Genomic DNA, 13990 nt, shown 5'->3' on the forward strand with positions numbered 1-13990 from the left:
TCACTCCCTGGCACCGGGCTCCTTGAAGTTATCTATTGAGAAATCTAGCACCTATTGTTCGAAGAATGCAGTCTTGCAAGCCTGCTGTCAATCAAACTGCTGACCGACAACCCCCCACCGCTCTTGCTATCTCTTTTGCCTAATAAATACGGAGGGCTGTGTAGGAGGACTGTGTAAAGCTCAGGGTCCTTGTCCACTAGAGGCAAGTGCCCCCTGACCCCTTCTTCCAAATATACTCTCTTGTCTTTGTCTTTTATTCCCTCGTTCACCCTCCTTTGTTCAGTCCCCCTAGGTCCGTGCCGGCTACACACACCTAGTTAATTTTTTTTTTTTCCTGTGGAGATGAGGTTCCACTATGTTGCCTAGGCTGGTCTCAAACACCTGGGTTCAAGGGATCCTTCCGCCTCTGTTTCCTAAACTGCTGGGATTATAGGCGTGAGCCACTTGCATGTGGTCCCTTCACTCTTCTCTAAGCCTCCATCTATTCCATTTCCATCCCCTCATCATATCAAACATACCCTTTGGGCCGGGCACGGTGGCTCACACCTGTAATCCCAGTACTTTGGGAGGCTGAAGATGGGCAGATCACTTGAGGTCAGGAGTTCGAGACCATCCTGGGCAACATGGTGAAACCCCATCTCTACTAAAAATACAAAAATTAGCTGGGTGTGGTGGTGCACACCTGTAGTCCCAGCTACTCAGGAGACTGAGGCAGGAGAATCACTTGAACCTGGGAGACAGAGGTTGCAGTGAGCTGAGATTGCCCCACTGCACTCCACTTGGGCAACAGAGCAAGACTCTGTCTTAAATAAATAAATAAATAAATATAAAAAACATATACCTTGGTAAAACTTTATTTATTCCACATGTAACTGAGATCTCATATGAGTCTAGCATCACTCTTAGAGAGCTAGACTTTAACCTCATTAATCTATCATCCTGAAAGTCCATCGTTTTCCCACAAATGTTTGCTAATTCCCAGGGATTTATACTCTCAGGATCTACTATGTCCTCTATTCAAGCTTTCTTGTAAAACTTGTCTTTGCTTTAAATTAACACAGCTTTTCTTTCTAGTAGCCCCCAAAAAACCACATTCACAGAAAAGCCTCACTTAGCCATTTGGCCTTTTTTTATTCATTTTTATTTTGAGACAGAGTCTCACTCTGTCACCCAGGCTGTGGTGCAGGGGTGGATCATAGCTCACTATAGCCTCAAACTCCTGGGCTCAAGGGATCCTCCTACCTTAGCCTTCTGAGTAGGTAGGATTACAGATGTATGCCACCAGGCCCAGTGTCAGGCCTCTGAGCCCAAGCCTGCATGTATACATCCAGATGGCCTGAAGCAACTGAAGAATCACAAAAGAAGTAAAAATGGCTAGCTCCTGCCTTAACTGATGACATTACCTTGCGAAACTCCTTCTCCTGGCTCAGAAGCTCCCCGACTGAGCGTCTTGTGACCCCCGCCCCTGCCCACAAGAGAACAACCCCCTTTGACTGTAATTTTCCACTACCTACCCAAATCCTATAAGACTGCCCCACCCCATCTCCCTTCTCTGACTCTCTTTTCGGACTCAGCCCACCTGTACCCATGTGATTAAACATCTTTACTTATTATTATTTTTTTTTCCCCGAGATGGAGTCTTGCTCTGTCACCTAGGCTGGAGAGCAGTGGCGTGATCTCGGCTCACTGCAACCTCCGCCTCCCGGGTTCAAGCCATTCTCCTGCTTCAGCCTCCCGAGTAGCTGGGATTACAGGTACCCGCCATCACGTCCGGCTAATTTTTTGTATTTTGTATTTAGGGGTTTCACCATGTTAGCCAGGATGGTCTCGATCTTCTGACCTTGTGATCCACCCGCTTTGGCCTCCCAAAGTGCTGGGATTACAGGCGTGAGCCACTACGCCCAGCAAAAAGCTTTATTGCTCACACAAAGCCTGTTGGTGGTCTCTTCACACGGACGCCCTTGACACCCAGCTAGTTTTTTTGTTTTTTGTTTTGTTTTGTTTTTGGAGACAGGGTCTCGCTCTGTCACCCAGGCTGGATTACAATGGTGGGATCATAGCTCAACCTCCTGGGCTCAAGTGACACTCCTGTCTCAGCCTCCTGAGTAGCTGGGAACACAGGCACACACCACCATGCCTGGCTAATTTTTGAATTTTTTTGTGGAGACGAAGTCTCACCATGTTGCCCAGGCTGTTCTCAAACCCCAGGGTCAAGTGATCCTCCTGCCTTGGCCTCTCAAAATGTTGGGATTACAGGCATGAGCCACCATATTGGGCCTTTTTTTTAAGAGAGAGATGGGGTCTTACTATGTTGTCCAGGTTGGCCTCAAACTTCTGGCCACAAGTGATCCTCCTGCCTTGGACTCTCAAACAGTTGGGATTACAGGTGTGAGCCACCGTGCCCAACCCTGGCCTTTATTAAAGACACTGCATGGCTGACACACAAGGAAAGAGATGCCATCCAGCTCCATGGGAAACAGTTTCGTAACCTTATTGTAATTATTTTTCTTCCAGTCCCTTCTGGGCTGCTCTTGCATTGGGGGCTTGAAGCTCTTCCCTTCTACCTGTGCAGCCCCTTACCCTGCTGTCCTGCTCTTCTCTGTCCTGGTTCCTCTCTCCCTCAACATTTTATGTTCTCCATCTATATAGGTCAATTTTCTCCCAAATCTATTCTCCAATTTGTACACTTAAACTCATTTTGATTTGGAGAATGTGAGTCTTCCCTTTAACATAATTGTGTCCCTTATGAGAGCAGTTAGTTTTAAATGGCAACATTATTTTGTTGCTTTAAGTTTTTTTTTTTTTTTTCCTAGGAATCTTAGCTCTGCAGGGTTCTTTGAGCTTTTAAAAACTACTTTATGGCCGGGCACGGTGGCTCATGCCTGTAATCCCAGCACTTCGGGAGGCCGAGGCGGGTGGATCACGAGGTCAGGAGATCGAGACCATCCTAGCTAACATGGTGAAACCCCGTCTCTACTAAAAATACAAAAAATTAGCCAGGTGTGGTGGTGGGCGCCTGTAGTCCCAGCTACTCCAGAGGCTGAGGTAGGAGAATGGTGTGAACCCGGGAGGCAGAGCTTGCAGTGAGCTGAGATCATGCCACTGCACTCCAGCCTGAGCGACAGAGCGAGACTCCGTCTCAAAAAAAAAAAAAAAATGCTTTATTAGGCTAGGTCTGGTGGCTCATGCCTGTAATACCAGCATTTTGGGAGGCCTAGGTGGCTGGATCACCTGACGTTGGGAGTTCGAGACCAGCCTGACCAACACAGTGAAACCCCATCTCTACTAAAAATACAAAATCAGCCAGACGTGGTGGCACATGCCTGTAATCCCAGCTACTTGGCAGGAGAATTGCTTGAACCCATGAGGTGGAGGTTGTAGTGAGCTGAGATCATGCATTGCTCTCCAGCCTGGGCAACAAGAGCAAAACTCCACCTCAAAAGAGAAAGACAGAAAGAAAGAAAAACTACTTTATTGAGGTATGATTGACATATAAAAAACTGTAGATATTTAATGTATACAACTTCACGTGTTTGGAAATAAGTATACATCCTTGAAACTATTATCACAACTAATGCCATAAACTTATCAATTGCCTCCAAAAATTCCCTTCCAGTTCATTTCTTCACTCCGCTTTGGTTTTGTTTGTCCTTTTGTGATAACATAAGATCTTATATAAGACCTACCCTTTCAGCAAAGTTTTAAATGTACAACGCCGTATTTGTTAATCATGTGCCCTATGTTGTACGGTAGGCCTCCAGAACTTGTTTATCTTGCAGGACTGAAACTTTGTACACTTTCCTTTTTGTTTTTGTTTTTTTGCTTTTTGCTTTTTTAATTTCCCCATGAAATTAAAAAAAAAAAGTTTCTCTTCATGAGAAACTTTGCACACTTTGACCAACACCTTTTCATTTCCTCCCACCTCTCAGCCTCTTGCAACCACTATTCTGCTTTCTGCTTCTGTGTGTTTGACTATTTTGGATTCCACATATAAATGAGGTCATACGGCCGGGCGCGGTGGCTCACGCTCCTAATCCAAGCACTTTGGGAGGCCGAGGCAGGCAGATCACAAGCTCAGGGGTTCAAAACCAGCCTGGCCAACATAGTGAAACCCAGTCTCTACTAAAAATAAAAAAACAAAATTAGCCGGGCATGGGGGTGGGCGCCTGTAGTCCCAGCTACTCAGGAGGGCAGGAGAATGGCGTGAACCCAGAAAGCAGAGCTTGCAGTGAGCTGAGATCGTGCCACTGCACTCCAGCCTGGGTGACAGAGCGACACTCTGTCTCAAAAAAAAAAAACATACGAGATCATATGTTATTTGTCTTTCTGTGTCTGTCTTATTTTACTTTGCATAATGTCCCTTAGGTTCGTCCAAGTCATCACAAATGACAAGATTTCCGTTTTTTTCCTTTTTATTTGAGACGCAGTTTCACTCTGTCGCCCAGGCTGGAGCGTAGTGGTGCGATCTTGGTCCACTGCAACTTCGACCTCCTGGGTTCAAGCAACTCTTCTGCCTCAGCCTCCCGAGTAGCTGGGATTACAGGTGTGCACCACCATGCCCAGCTAATTTTTTTGTATTTTTTTAGTAGAGATGCGGTTTCACCATGCTGGCCAGGCTGCTCTCGAACTCCTGACCTCATGTTCTGCCCGCCTTGGCCTCCCAATGTGCTTGGATTACAGGCGTGAGCCACTGTGCCTGGCCTGTTTTTTTTGAGACGGAGTTTCACTATTGTCACCCAGGCTGGAGTGCAATGTCCCTATCTCGGCTCACTGCAACCTCCAACTCCTGGGTTCAAGCGATTCTCCTCCCTCAGTCTGCCGAGTAGCTGGGATTAGAGGCACCCACCAACATGCCCGGCTAGTTTTTTGTATTTTTAGTAGAGACGGGGGTTTCACTATGTTGGCCAGGCTGGTTTTGAACTCCTGACCTCAGGTGATCCACCAGCCTCGGCCTCCCAAAGTGCTGGGATTACGGGCGTGAGCCACCACGCCTGGCCTAGATTTCCATTTTTTTAAAGGCTGAATAGTGTGTGTGTGTGTGTGTGTGTGTGTTTATCCATTTATCAGTGAACATTTAGGTTTTTTCCACATCTTGGTTATTGTGGCAATAAACATAGGAGTGCAGATCTCTCTCCAAGATATTGATTTCATTCCTTTGGATATATACCATGAAGGGGGATTGCTGAATCACCTGGTAGTTCTATTTTTAATTTTTTGAGGAACCTCCATAATGTTTTCTACCAATTTACATTCCCACCAATGGTGTACAAGGGTTCCCTTTCTCCACATCCTTGCCAATACTATTTCCCGTTAATATTATTTTGTTTTTGAGACAGTCTCGCTCTGTCGCCCAGGCTGGAGTGTAGTGGCACAATCTCGACTCACTGCAACCTCCACCTCCAGGGTTTAAGCGATTCTCCTGCCTCAGCCTCCTGAGTAGCTGGGACTACAGGCATGAGCCACCATGCCCGGCTGTTTTCTTTTGTTTTTTTGAGGCAGAGTCTTGCTCTGTCATACAGGCTGGAGTGCAGCGGCACATTCATGGCTCACTGTAGCCTCACCTCAATCTCCTGGACCGAACCAATCCTCCCACCTCAGCCTCCCAAGTACAGTAGCTGGGACCGCAGGCAGATGCCACTATACCCAGCTTATTTATTTATTTATGTTTGAGATGGAGTTCTGCTCTTGTTGCCCAGGCTGGAGTGCAGTGGCGTGATCTCGGCTCACTGCAACCTCCGCCTCCCGGGTTCAAGCGATTCTTCTGCCTCAGCCTTCCTGAGTAGCTGGGATTACAGGCATGTGCCCCCACACCTGGCTAATTTTGTATTTTTAGTATAGACGGGGTTTTTCCATGTTGGTCAGGCTCGTCTCGAACGCCCAACCTCAGATGATCCGCCACCTCGGCCTCCCAAAGTGCTGGGATTACAGGAGTGAGCCACCGCGCCCGGCTATTTCTATATTTTGAGACGGAGTCCCGCTCTATTGCCCAGGCTGGTGTGCAGTGATGTGTGATCTCAGCTCACTGCGACCTCCACCTCCTGGGTTCAAGCGATTCTCCTGCCTCAGCTTCCTGAGTAGCTGGGATTACAGGAGCCCACCACCATGCCTGGCTAATTTTTGTATTTTTAGTGGTGCACATGCCTGTAATCCCAGCTACTCGGGAGGCTGAGGCACAAGAATCCCTTAATCCCAGGAGATGGAGGCTGCAGTGAGTCGAGATTGTGCCACTGCACTCCAGCCTGGGCAACAGAGAGACTCTGTCTCAAAAATAAAAATAAAAAAAAAAAAAAATAAAAAATTCAAGGTTGCTTGAAGAAGATATAAGACTCCGGTGTCAGGTCCAACAGACTTTATTACTGACAACACAGCAAAGAAGCAAAAACTTGATACTCACGTCAATCCCCTTGCACTTCAAGTCCAACAGGACTGATGAGAAAGGGTCTGGACAGATGCTTTGCATACAGTGAGTGTGTAATGCAGTGAGTGTGTGCCAGAATGAAGAATCCTGAGCTTATAAAGCAATCTTTTAAGAGGGCCACAGGAAGACCTCCCCAACCTTTGCTTCTGACATATGCATCATTATATATATTTTTTACAGTGGTTAGGCAACAAATCTGCCTCTGGCCATGGGGACTCGCTGTTGCTATCTTCCTAAACCGTTTGCTATACAAACATTCTTGGCCGGGCGCTGTGGCTCATGCCTGTAATCCCAGCACTTTGGGAGGCTGAGGCTGGTGGATCACCTGAGATCAGGAGTTCGAAACCAGCCTGGCCAACATGGTAAAACCCCCGTCTCTACTAAAAATACAAAAATTAGCTGGGCATGGTGGCGGACGCCTGTAATCCTAGCTCCTTGGGAGGCTGAGGCAGGAGAATTGCTTGAACCCAGGAGGTGGAGGTTGCAGTGAGCCGAGATTGTGCCATTGCACTCCAGCCTGGGCGACAAGAGCGAAACTCCGTCTCAAACAAACAAACAAACGAAAAAACACAAACAGGCCGGGCGCGGTGGCTCATGCCTGTAATCCCAGCACATTGGGAGGCCGAGATGGGCAGATCATGAGGTCAGGAGTTTGAGACCAGCCTGGCCAGCATGGTGAAACTCCGTCTCTACTAAAAAAATACAAAAAATTAGCCAGGCATGGTGGCACGTGCCTGTAATCCCAGCTATTCGGGAAGCTCGGGCAGGAGAATTGCTTGAACTCGGGAGGGGGAGGTTGCAGTGGGCCAAGATTGAGCCACTGCACTCCAGCCTGGATGACAGAGCAAGACTCCATCTCAAAAAACAAACAAACAAAAAAAACCCAAAAACATTCTTGATAAGATAGTCTGGAACAAAAGCTTTAAAAAATGTGAAGATATGTGAGATGCCCTGGGAGAATTATCTACCAACATAGTGTACATTTCCCTTTAATACACGGGAATAGTCAATCTTCTGAACAAAAAGATCCCCTGGCTGGGCACGGTGGCTCATGCCTGTCATCTCAGCACTTTGGGAGGCTGAGACAGGCAGATTGCTTGAGTCCGGGAGTTTGAGACCATCCTGGGTAGGGTAGAGAGAACTACTCAGGCTGAGTGAGCTTCTAGACAGGACAAATAAAAAGAGCATTGCAAGTAGGGTTTTACAGGGGGGTCACTTGACAAGGCAAATAATGACAATTTCCTGGGACTGGGACTTTGAAGGGACTCCAGCCCTGTTCTCCTCCTGCCAATGGTTGCCAGGTTGCTGTTCCTCTCTGACGGAGACTGCTGGCTTTCAAGTCTACCGTGGATCAGTGGAGGGACAATGAAATAGGGCAAGTTAAAAAAAAACCCACAAAGCTTGCTATTCTTCCCAAGATTCAGCTGTTTTCCTTGAAAGCGATGAATATCATCCCTAGATTGCTGCAAACTCTTAGTTAATTTCCAAAGATTAAAAAAAAAAAACTGTAACCCCAGCATTTTGGAAGGCCGAGGCAAGCGGATCACGAAGTCAAGAGATCGAAACCATCCTGGCCAACATGGTGAAACCCCGTCTCTACTAAAAATACAAAAATTAGCTGGGCATGGTGGCACGTGCCTGTAGTCACAGCTACTCGGGAGGCTGAGGCAGGAGAATCACTTGAACCCAGGAGGTGGAGACTGCAGTGAGCTGAGATTGCACCACTGCACTCCAGCCTGGACGACAGAGTGAGACTCCATCTCAAAAAAAAAAAAAAAAAAATGATGCTGAAATTGCTTTTTTTTTTGAGATGGAGTTTTGCTCTTGTCACCGAGGCTGGAGTGCAATGGTGCCATCTTGGCTCACTGCAACCTCCGCCTCCCAGATTGAACTGATTTTCCTGTCTCAACCTCTCCAACAGCTGTATTTTCAGTAGTAAGGCCTTGGGAAGGTCATTAGGTCATGATGGTGGAGCCCTCATGAATGGGATTAGTGTCCTTATAAGAATTCTGTCAGACACAGTGGCTCACACCTGTAAGCCCATGACTTTGGGAGATCAAGGAGGGAGGATCAGTTGGGGCCAGGAGTTTGAGACCCTGTCTCCACAAAAAAGTAAAAGTAAATAATTAGCTAGGCATGGCGGCGAATGCCTGTAGTCCCAGCTACTCAGGAGGCTGAGGTGGGAGGATTGCTTGAGCCCAGGAGTTTGAGGCCGCAGTGAGCTGTGGTCATGCCACTGCACTCCAGCCTGGGTGACATAGTGAGACCCTATGGCAGGATCTCACCATTTTTTCCTCCAAAAAAAAAAAATTGTTAAAAAAAATTCCAGTATTGTGCAGTAGCTGGATGTTTCAAATTTTAAAAAGAAGAAAATAAAAAATAAAATAAGAGTCTTGATAGAACTTGCTTCTCCCTTCCACCATGTGAGAAGGACACAGCTAGATGGCACCATCTACGAATCAGAAAGTGGACCCTCACCAGACGCTAAATTGCTGGTGCCTTGATCTCAGACTTCCTGGCCTCCCAAACTGTGAGAAATAAGTTTCTGTTGTTTATAAGCTACCCAGTTTATGGTATTTTGTTACAGCAGCCTGAACTAAGACACGTTGCAACTTCCACTTTCCATTCAACATATATCGTCCCCATTTCTCTTACTCCATACATACAGATCTAAGTGGTTTTTATGAAAGTTCTTTAATAATCCATAGTTGGTATGTCCGATATTTTATGCAATAATCTATCAAATAGTGGACTTTCCTATTTTACATATGTAGAAACTGAGGATCAGGGCCGGGCACAGTGGCTCACACCTGTAATCCCAGCACTTTGGGAGGCCAAGGCGGATCACTTGAGCCCAGGAGTTCGAGACCAGCCTAGGCAACATAGTGAGACCCCCGTCTGTACATTTTTAAAATTAAAAAAAAAAAAGGCCAGGTGTGATGGCTCACGCCTGTAATCCCAGCACTTTGGGAGGCCAAGGCGCACGGATCACCTGAGGTCAGGAGTTTGAGACCAGCCTGACCAACATGGAGAAACCCCATGTCTACTGATAATACAAAAATTAGCTGGGCATGGTGGCGCATGCCTGTAATCACAGCTACTGGGGAAGTTGAGGCACGAGAATCGCTTGAACCTGGGAGGCAGAGGTTGCGGTGAGCTGAGATCGCGCCATTGCACTCCAGCCTGGGCAACAAGAGTGAAGCTCCATCTCAAAAAAAAAAAAGGAAACTGAGGATTAGGAAAGCCCAAGACCCAACATCAGGAATGTCTCCTAGTCCCAGAATCTCTTGCATTTGTACACCCCACCCCACTATGAACTCAGGCATAGTAAAATAATCCAAAATCCCCCATCAAATATTTTATATATATACATATATATGTGTGTGTATATATATATATATACACATATATATGTGTGTGTGTGTGTATGTATATATATATATATATATATATATATATATATATATATATATACATACACATATATATGTATTTCTATTTTATTTTAATTTTTTTTGAGACAGGGTCTTGGCTGTTGCCCAGGCTAGAGTGTAGTGGTGTGATCATGGCTCACTGCAGCCTCGATCTCTTGGGCTCAAGTGATCCTCTTGCCTCTGCCTCCTGAGTACTACAGGGATATACCTGATGTACTACAGGCATGTGCCACCACTCCCGGCTAAACTTTCTTTCTTTTTTGCAGTGACAGGGGTCTTGCTATGTTACCCAGGCTGGTCTTTACCTCCTGGCTTCAAGCAATCCTTCCTCCTTGGACTCTCAAAGTGTTCAGATTACAAGCATGAGCCACCACCACACCTGGATTGTATCATTATATTAAAGCTGAGTTTTAGTCAAGCAAGCCTTTGGAGTCAGACTGCCCAGGTTCAAATTCCAGCACCCGATGAGTGGGGTGGCTCCTGTTTGTAACCCCAGCACTTTGGGAAGCCAAGGCAGGTGGATCATTTGAACCCAGGAGTTTGAGACGAGCCTGGGCAACACAGTGAGACCCCAGGGGTCTCTACAAAAATTAAAAAATTACCCGGGCATGGTCACACATGCCTTTAGTCTTAGCTACCGGGCATTGGGGGGGCCGAGGTGAGAGGACCACTTGAGCCTGGGAGATCAAGACTGCACTGAGCACAGAACAGATTGCGTCCCTACACTCCCAGCCTAGGCAACAAGGCAAGACCCTGTCTCAAACAAACAAACAAATTCCAGCACCACTATTACCATCTATGAGAACTTGGACAAATTCCTAAAGTTCTCTATGCCTCGGTTTCCTCATCCATTAAATTAGGATGATGCTGCTACTTTACATATATCATAGAGTTATTGTCAGGGTTAAATGAATTAATTTACTGAATACACTTTACTGTAGCTATTATCACTGGCATTGATCTGTATAGGTATTGATTTGTATAGGTATTGATCTGTATAGGTATTGATCTGTATAGGTATTGATCTGTATAGGTATTGATTTGTATAGGTATTTGTTAAATACTTATTAAAGTTTGCAGTTTTGTTTTGCATTTTGGAATCCATAATTTGTTTTTATTTTGTTTCTGAGATTTATAATGCCTCATTTAAGCCTCTGAAAATTCCTAGGCCCTAAGCACTTCAAAGGCCACCAGCCCAACATCCCAAGCAGCCTGACACCAAGACAGGCACGCATAGCTAAAAAGATCCCTAGCCTCAGAGACCTTGGGGCTGAGAGGAGTCCTGGGAATAGGGAGGGCTGGGACTGAAATATTCAACCCCATCCCCACTTTTATGAGCAGCAGTTTCCTAACTGCAGTGGGTAAGGGTATTTGAAATAGATGCTGGGCCGGGCACGGTGGCTCACACCTGTAATCCCAGCGCTCTGGGAAGTCCAAGTGGGCGGATCACCTGAGGTCAGGAGTTCGAGACCAAAGACAGCCAACACGGTGAAACCCCGTCTCTACTAAAAATACAAAATTAGCCGGGCGTGGTGGCTCATGCCTGTAAATTCCAGCTACTCCGGAGGCTGAGGCAGAAGAATCGCTTGAACCCGAGAGGTGGAGGTTGCAGTGAGCAGAGATTGAGCCACTGCACTTCAGCCGGGGCAACAAGAGCGAAACTCCGCCTCAAAAAAAAGGCCGGGTGCGGTGGCTCACACCTGTAATCCCAGCACTTTGGGAAGCCAAGGCAGGCAGATCACCCTGAGGTCAGGAGTTTGAGACCAGCCTGGCCCAAAGTGGTGAAACCCCGTCTCTACTAAAAATACAAAAATTAACCGGGCGTTGTGGTAGGCGCCTGTAATCCCAGGTACTCTGGAGGCTGAGACAGGATAATTGTTTGAACCCAGGAGACAGAGGCTGTAGTATGCCGAGATCGGGCCCCTGCATTCTAGCCTGGGCAACAGAGCGAGACTCCGTCTCAAAAAAAAAAAAAGAAAAAGAAAAAGAAGAAAAAAGAAATAGATGCTGTGGGTATTCAGATCTGTCAGAGTGCTAGCTCAGCCTAGCCCTTCAAGTAGCAGAATAAAGGAGGAAAGAGCATCCCAGGCCTTCCCATCCCCATTCAACTCCCTCAGTTAGAGTGGTCCTAAGATTGCGGTGGGGGGGTAGGGCTGTGTTGAAGAGGTTAAAAACAGAGATTAGTCAGATCCAATCCTGCTCCCACTCTATGGAGGAAACAAATTCGAATACATAGTCACAGCCCAGGCTCTGGGATTGAGAGACAGAGAGAGAGATTGGATTGGAGAGAGAGAGAGAGAGAGATGGGATTGGAGAGACAGAGAGATAGATGGGACTGGAGAGACAGAGAGAGGGGTTCTGTGGCTCTGGAAGCCTAGAGAACAGAGCCTGAAGACAGAGAGGAAAGGGAGTAAAGGGGAGGCATTTATGCAGAGATCTCAGAAGTGAATATGAAAGGCACCCCTAGCAGAACGCACAGCTTGGGCAAGGAGGCTTGCTGGCATGAAAACGCAAGAAGTGCTCAGGCAGCTGTAATTCTCCAGGACATCAGATAAAAGGTAAAAAACAGATGGGAGACGCGCCTAGACAGGGTATTGAATACCAGCCCGAGGGGCTTGGGTTTCATCCAAACAGCAAGGCAACTGAGCTCAACACAGTGAGACTCGGTCTCCACAAACATTTTTTTAAAAATTGGCCGGGCCTAGCGGCGCGCGCCGATAGTCCCAGCTATTTCTGCAGGCTGAGGCGAGAGGATCATTTGAGCTCGGGGAGGTCCAGGCGGCAGTGAGCCAAGATCCTGCCACTGCACTACAGTCTGGGCAACAGAGCGAGACCCTGTCTTTAAAAAAGTAAAAAAAAAAAAAAAAAAAAAAGAAAGAAAAAGAAAAAAGAGAGAAGGGCAAGTCGCTCCCTTCTCTGGGCCTTGGCATAAATCAAGCACAAATCAAAGTCTCACTCCCTCCTCCTGCCGCGCAACGGCGCGGAGAGCCAGCCAGCCAGCCAGCGGAACCACGGCCTGGTAACCCAAAACCTGCACACCCTCCAGCTCCCCACAGGACGTCACGTATTACCACCGACGCACGCGCAGAAGCCTTCCCGGGGACTCAAGAAAGGGCAGGCTTAGCCTCCTCCCCATGTCGCCCCTCATTGGCTAGAAACTACTGCTCGTCTCGGTCGTTGTTAGCAGCGACCAGGGCGGGTACAATCTTGGTCGCTAGGACACGGCTAACTTCCGCTTTCTTCCCCCTCTCCTAGGCTCAAACTAGTCAAATCTTGTTCACTCGACCAATGGCAAATCGGAAGTGGGCGGGACTTCACAAGTCCGGACCAAAGAAACGCGAGCTTAGCCCTGGGTAGCGCGGCCAATGGCCGTGGAGCAGCCCCTGTAAACTGGCTCGGGCGCCCCCACGCCCGCCCTTCCTTCTTCTCCCAGCATTGCCCCCCCCACGTTTCAGCACAGCGCTGGCCGCAGTCTGACAGGAAAGGGACGGAGCCAAGATGGCGGCGGCCGACGGCGACGACTCGCTGTACCCCATCGCGGTGCTCATAGACGAACTCCGCAATGAGGACGTTCAGGTCCGGAGGCTACGGGGGACTTGGGGAAGACGCGGAGGGGTACCTGGGGGCACGGGCGGCCCTCGCGGAGAAGACTCAGCGTTCGCTGGGAGTGGCGGAAGGGGGCGACGGCCAATCAGCGTGCGTCTCTTATCTCCCCGGTTGCCCGGACTCCTTGAGACGGCGCTCCCGATTGGGTGTCGGCCCAGTGGAGGGCGGGGGCCAGCGCTAGCCTCGAGGGTCCCGGGCCTGCCCTGTGCGCGCGGCGGTCCGCGGTCCTGGGAGGTTGTGGCCAGGGCTGGGGTCTGCGGACTGGGTCTGGGAGAGAGGAGGACTCCGTGATTGGCGGCGGCCTCTGAATGGCCTCTTGGGGATGTGGGGCGCGCATGACTTGCTCCAAGTAGGGGAGGGCCGCCGGGTGGGTCGGGACCTGGGAAGGTTTTTTTGTTTTCTGGGTTTCGACTGCTGGGCCAAGTGGGGACCGAGAGGCGAAGGCCTGCCATCCTAATTCCTGCTCTTCCTCCGCCTCTCATTTTGGTTTAGGTGTCCTAAGAGGACGGGGACGCAAAAACACCCCCCCACC

General features: G+C 48.2%; 1 protein-coding gene across 2 annotated transcripts in view, besides 7 other annotated features; it reads left to right on the forward strand.

Moving 5' to 3' along the window:
• Positions 11896–12863: an enhancer, noted in NCBI's record as "H3K27ac-H3K4me1 hESC enhancer chr19:52691895-52692862 (GRCh37/hg19 assembly coordinates)". NCBI's record gives its function as "activates a minimal SCP1, AML or CMV promoter by ChIP-STARR-seq in naive H9 embryonic stem cells {active_cell/tissue: H9 hESC(naive)}" and the evidence as "EXISTENCE:reporter gene assay evidence [ECO:0000049][PMID:30033119]".
• Positions 11896–12951: a biological region, named in NCBI's record as "H3K27ac-H3K4me1 hESC enhancer GRCh37_chr19:52691895-52692862".
• Positions 12512–12641: an enhancer, noted in NCBI's record as "active region_15038". NCBI's record gives its function as "activates an Ori minimal core promoter by ATAC-STARR-seq in GM12878 lymphoblastoid cells {active_cell/tissue: GM12878}" and the evidence as "EXISTENCE:reporter gene assay evidence [ECO:0000049][PMID:35858748]".
• Positions 12672–12721: an enhancer, noted in NCBI's record as "active region_15039". NCBI's record gives its function as "activates an Ori minimal core promoter by ATAC-STARR-seq in GM12878 lymphoblastoid cells {active_cell/tissue: GM12878}" and the evidence as "EXISTENCE:reporter gene assay evidence [ECO:0000049][PMID:35858748]".
• Positions 12732–12951: an enhancer, noted in NCBI's record as "active region_15040". NCBI's record gives its function as "activates an Ori minimal core promoter by ATAC-STARR-seq in GM12878 lymphoblastoid cells {active_cell/tissue: GM12878}" and the evidence as "EXISTENCE:reporter gene assay evidence [ECO:0000049][PMID:35858748]".
• Positions 12864–13831: an enhancer, noted in NCBI's record as "NANOG-H3K27ac-H3K4me1 hESC enhancer chr19:52692863-52693830 (GRCh37/hg19 assembly coordinates)". NCBI's record gives its function as "activates a minimal SCP1, AML or CMV promoter by ChIP-STARR-seq in primed H9 embryonic stem cells {active_cell/tissue: H9 hESC(primed)}" and the evidence as "EXISTENCE:reporter gene assay evidence [ECO:0000049][PMID:30033119]".
• Positions 13282–13521: an enhancer, noted in NCBI's record as "active region_15041". NCBI's record gives its function as "activates an Ori minimal core promoter by ATAC-STARR-seq in GM12878 lymphoblastoid cells {active_cell/tissue: GM12878}" and the evidence as "EXISTENCE:reporter gene assay evidence [ECO:0000049][PMID:35858748]".
• Positions 13306–13990, forward strand: part of PPP2R1A (protein phosphatase 2 scaffold subunit Aalpha) — a 39467-nt gene continuing 38782 nt past the window's right edge. For both annotated transcript variants that reach the window (NR_033500.2, NM_014225.6), the window contains exon 1: positions 13306–13428. Coding sequence is in view for 1 of the 2 variants with exons in the window: in NM_014225.6 (NP_055040.2) it covers positions 13351–13428 (78 nt within the window). In the remaining variant the exon portion in view is untranslated. The remainder of the gene's footprint in view (positions 13429–13990) is intronic.

This window comes from Homo sapiens, chromosome 19 (assembly GCF_000001405.40).
Source record: "Homo sapiens chromosome 19, GRCh38.p14 Primary Assembly".
In the NCBI taxonomy this organism is placed as follows: domain Eukaryota; kingdom Metazoa; phylum Chordata; class Mammalia; order Primates; family Hominidae; genus Homo; species Homo sapiens.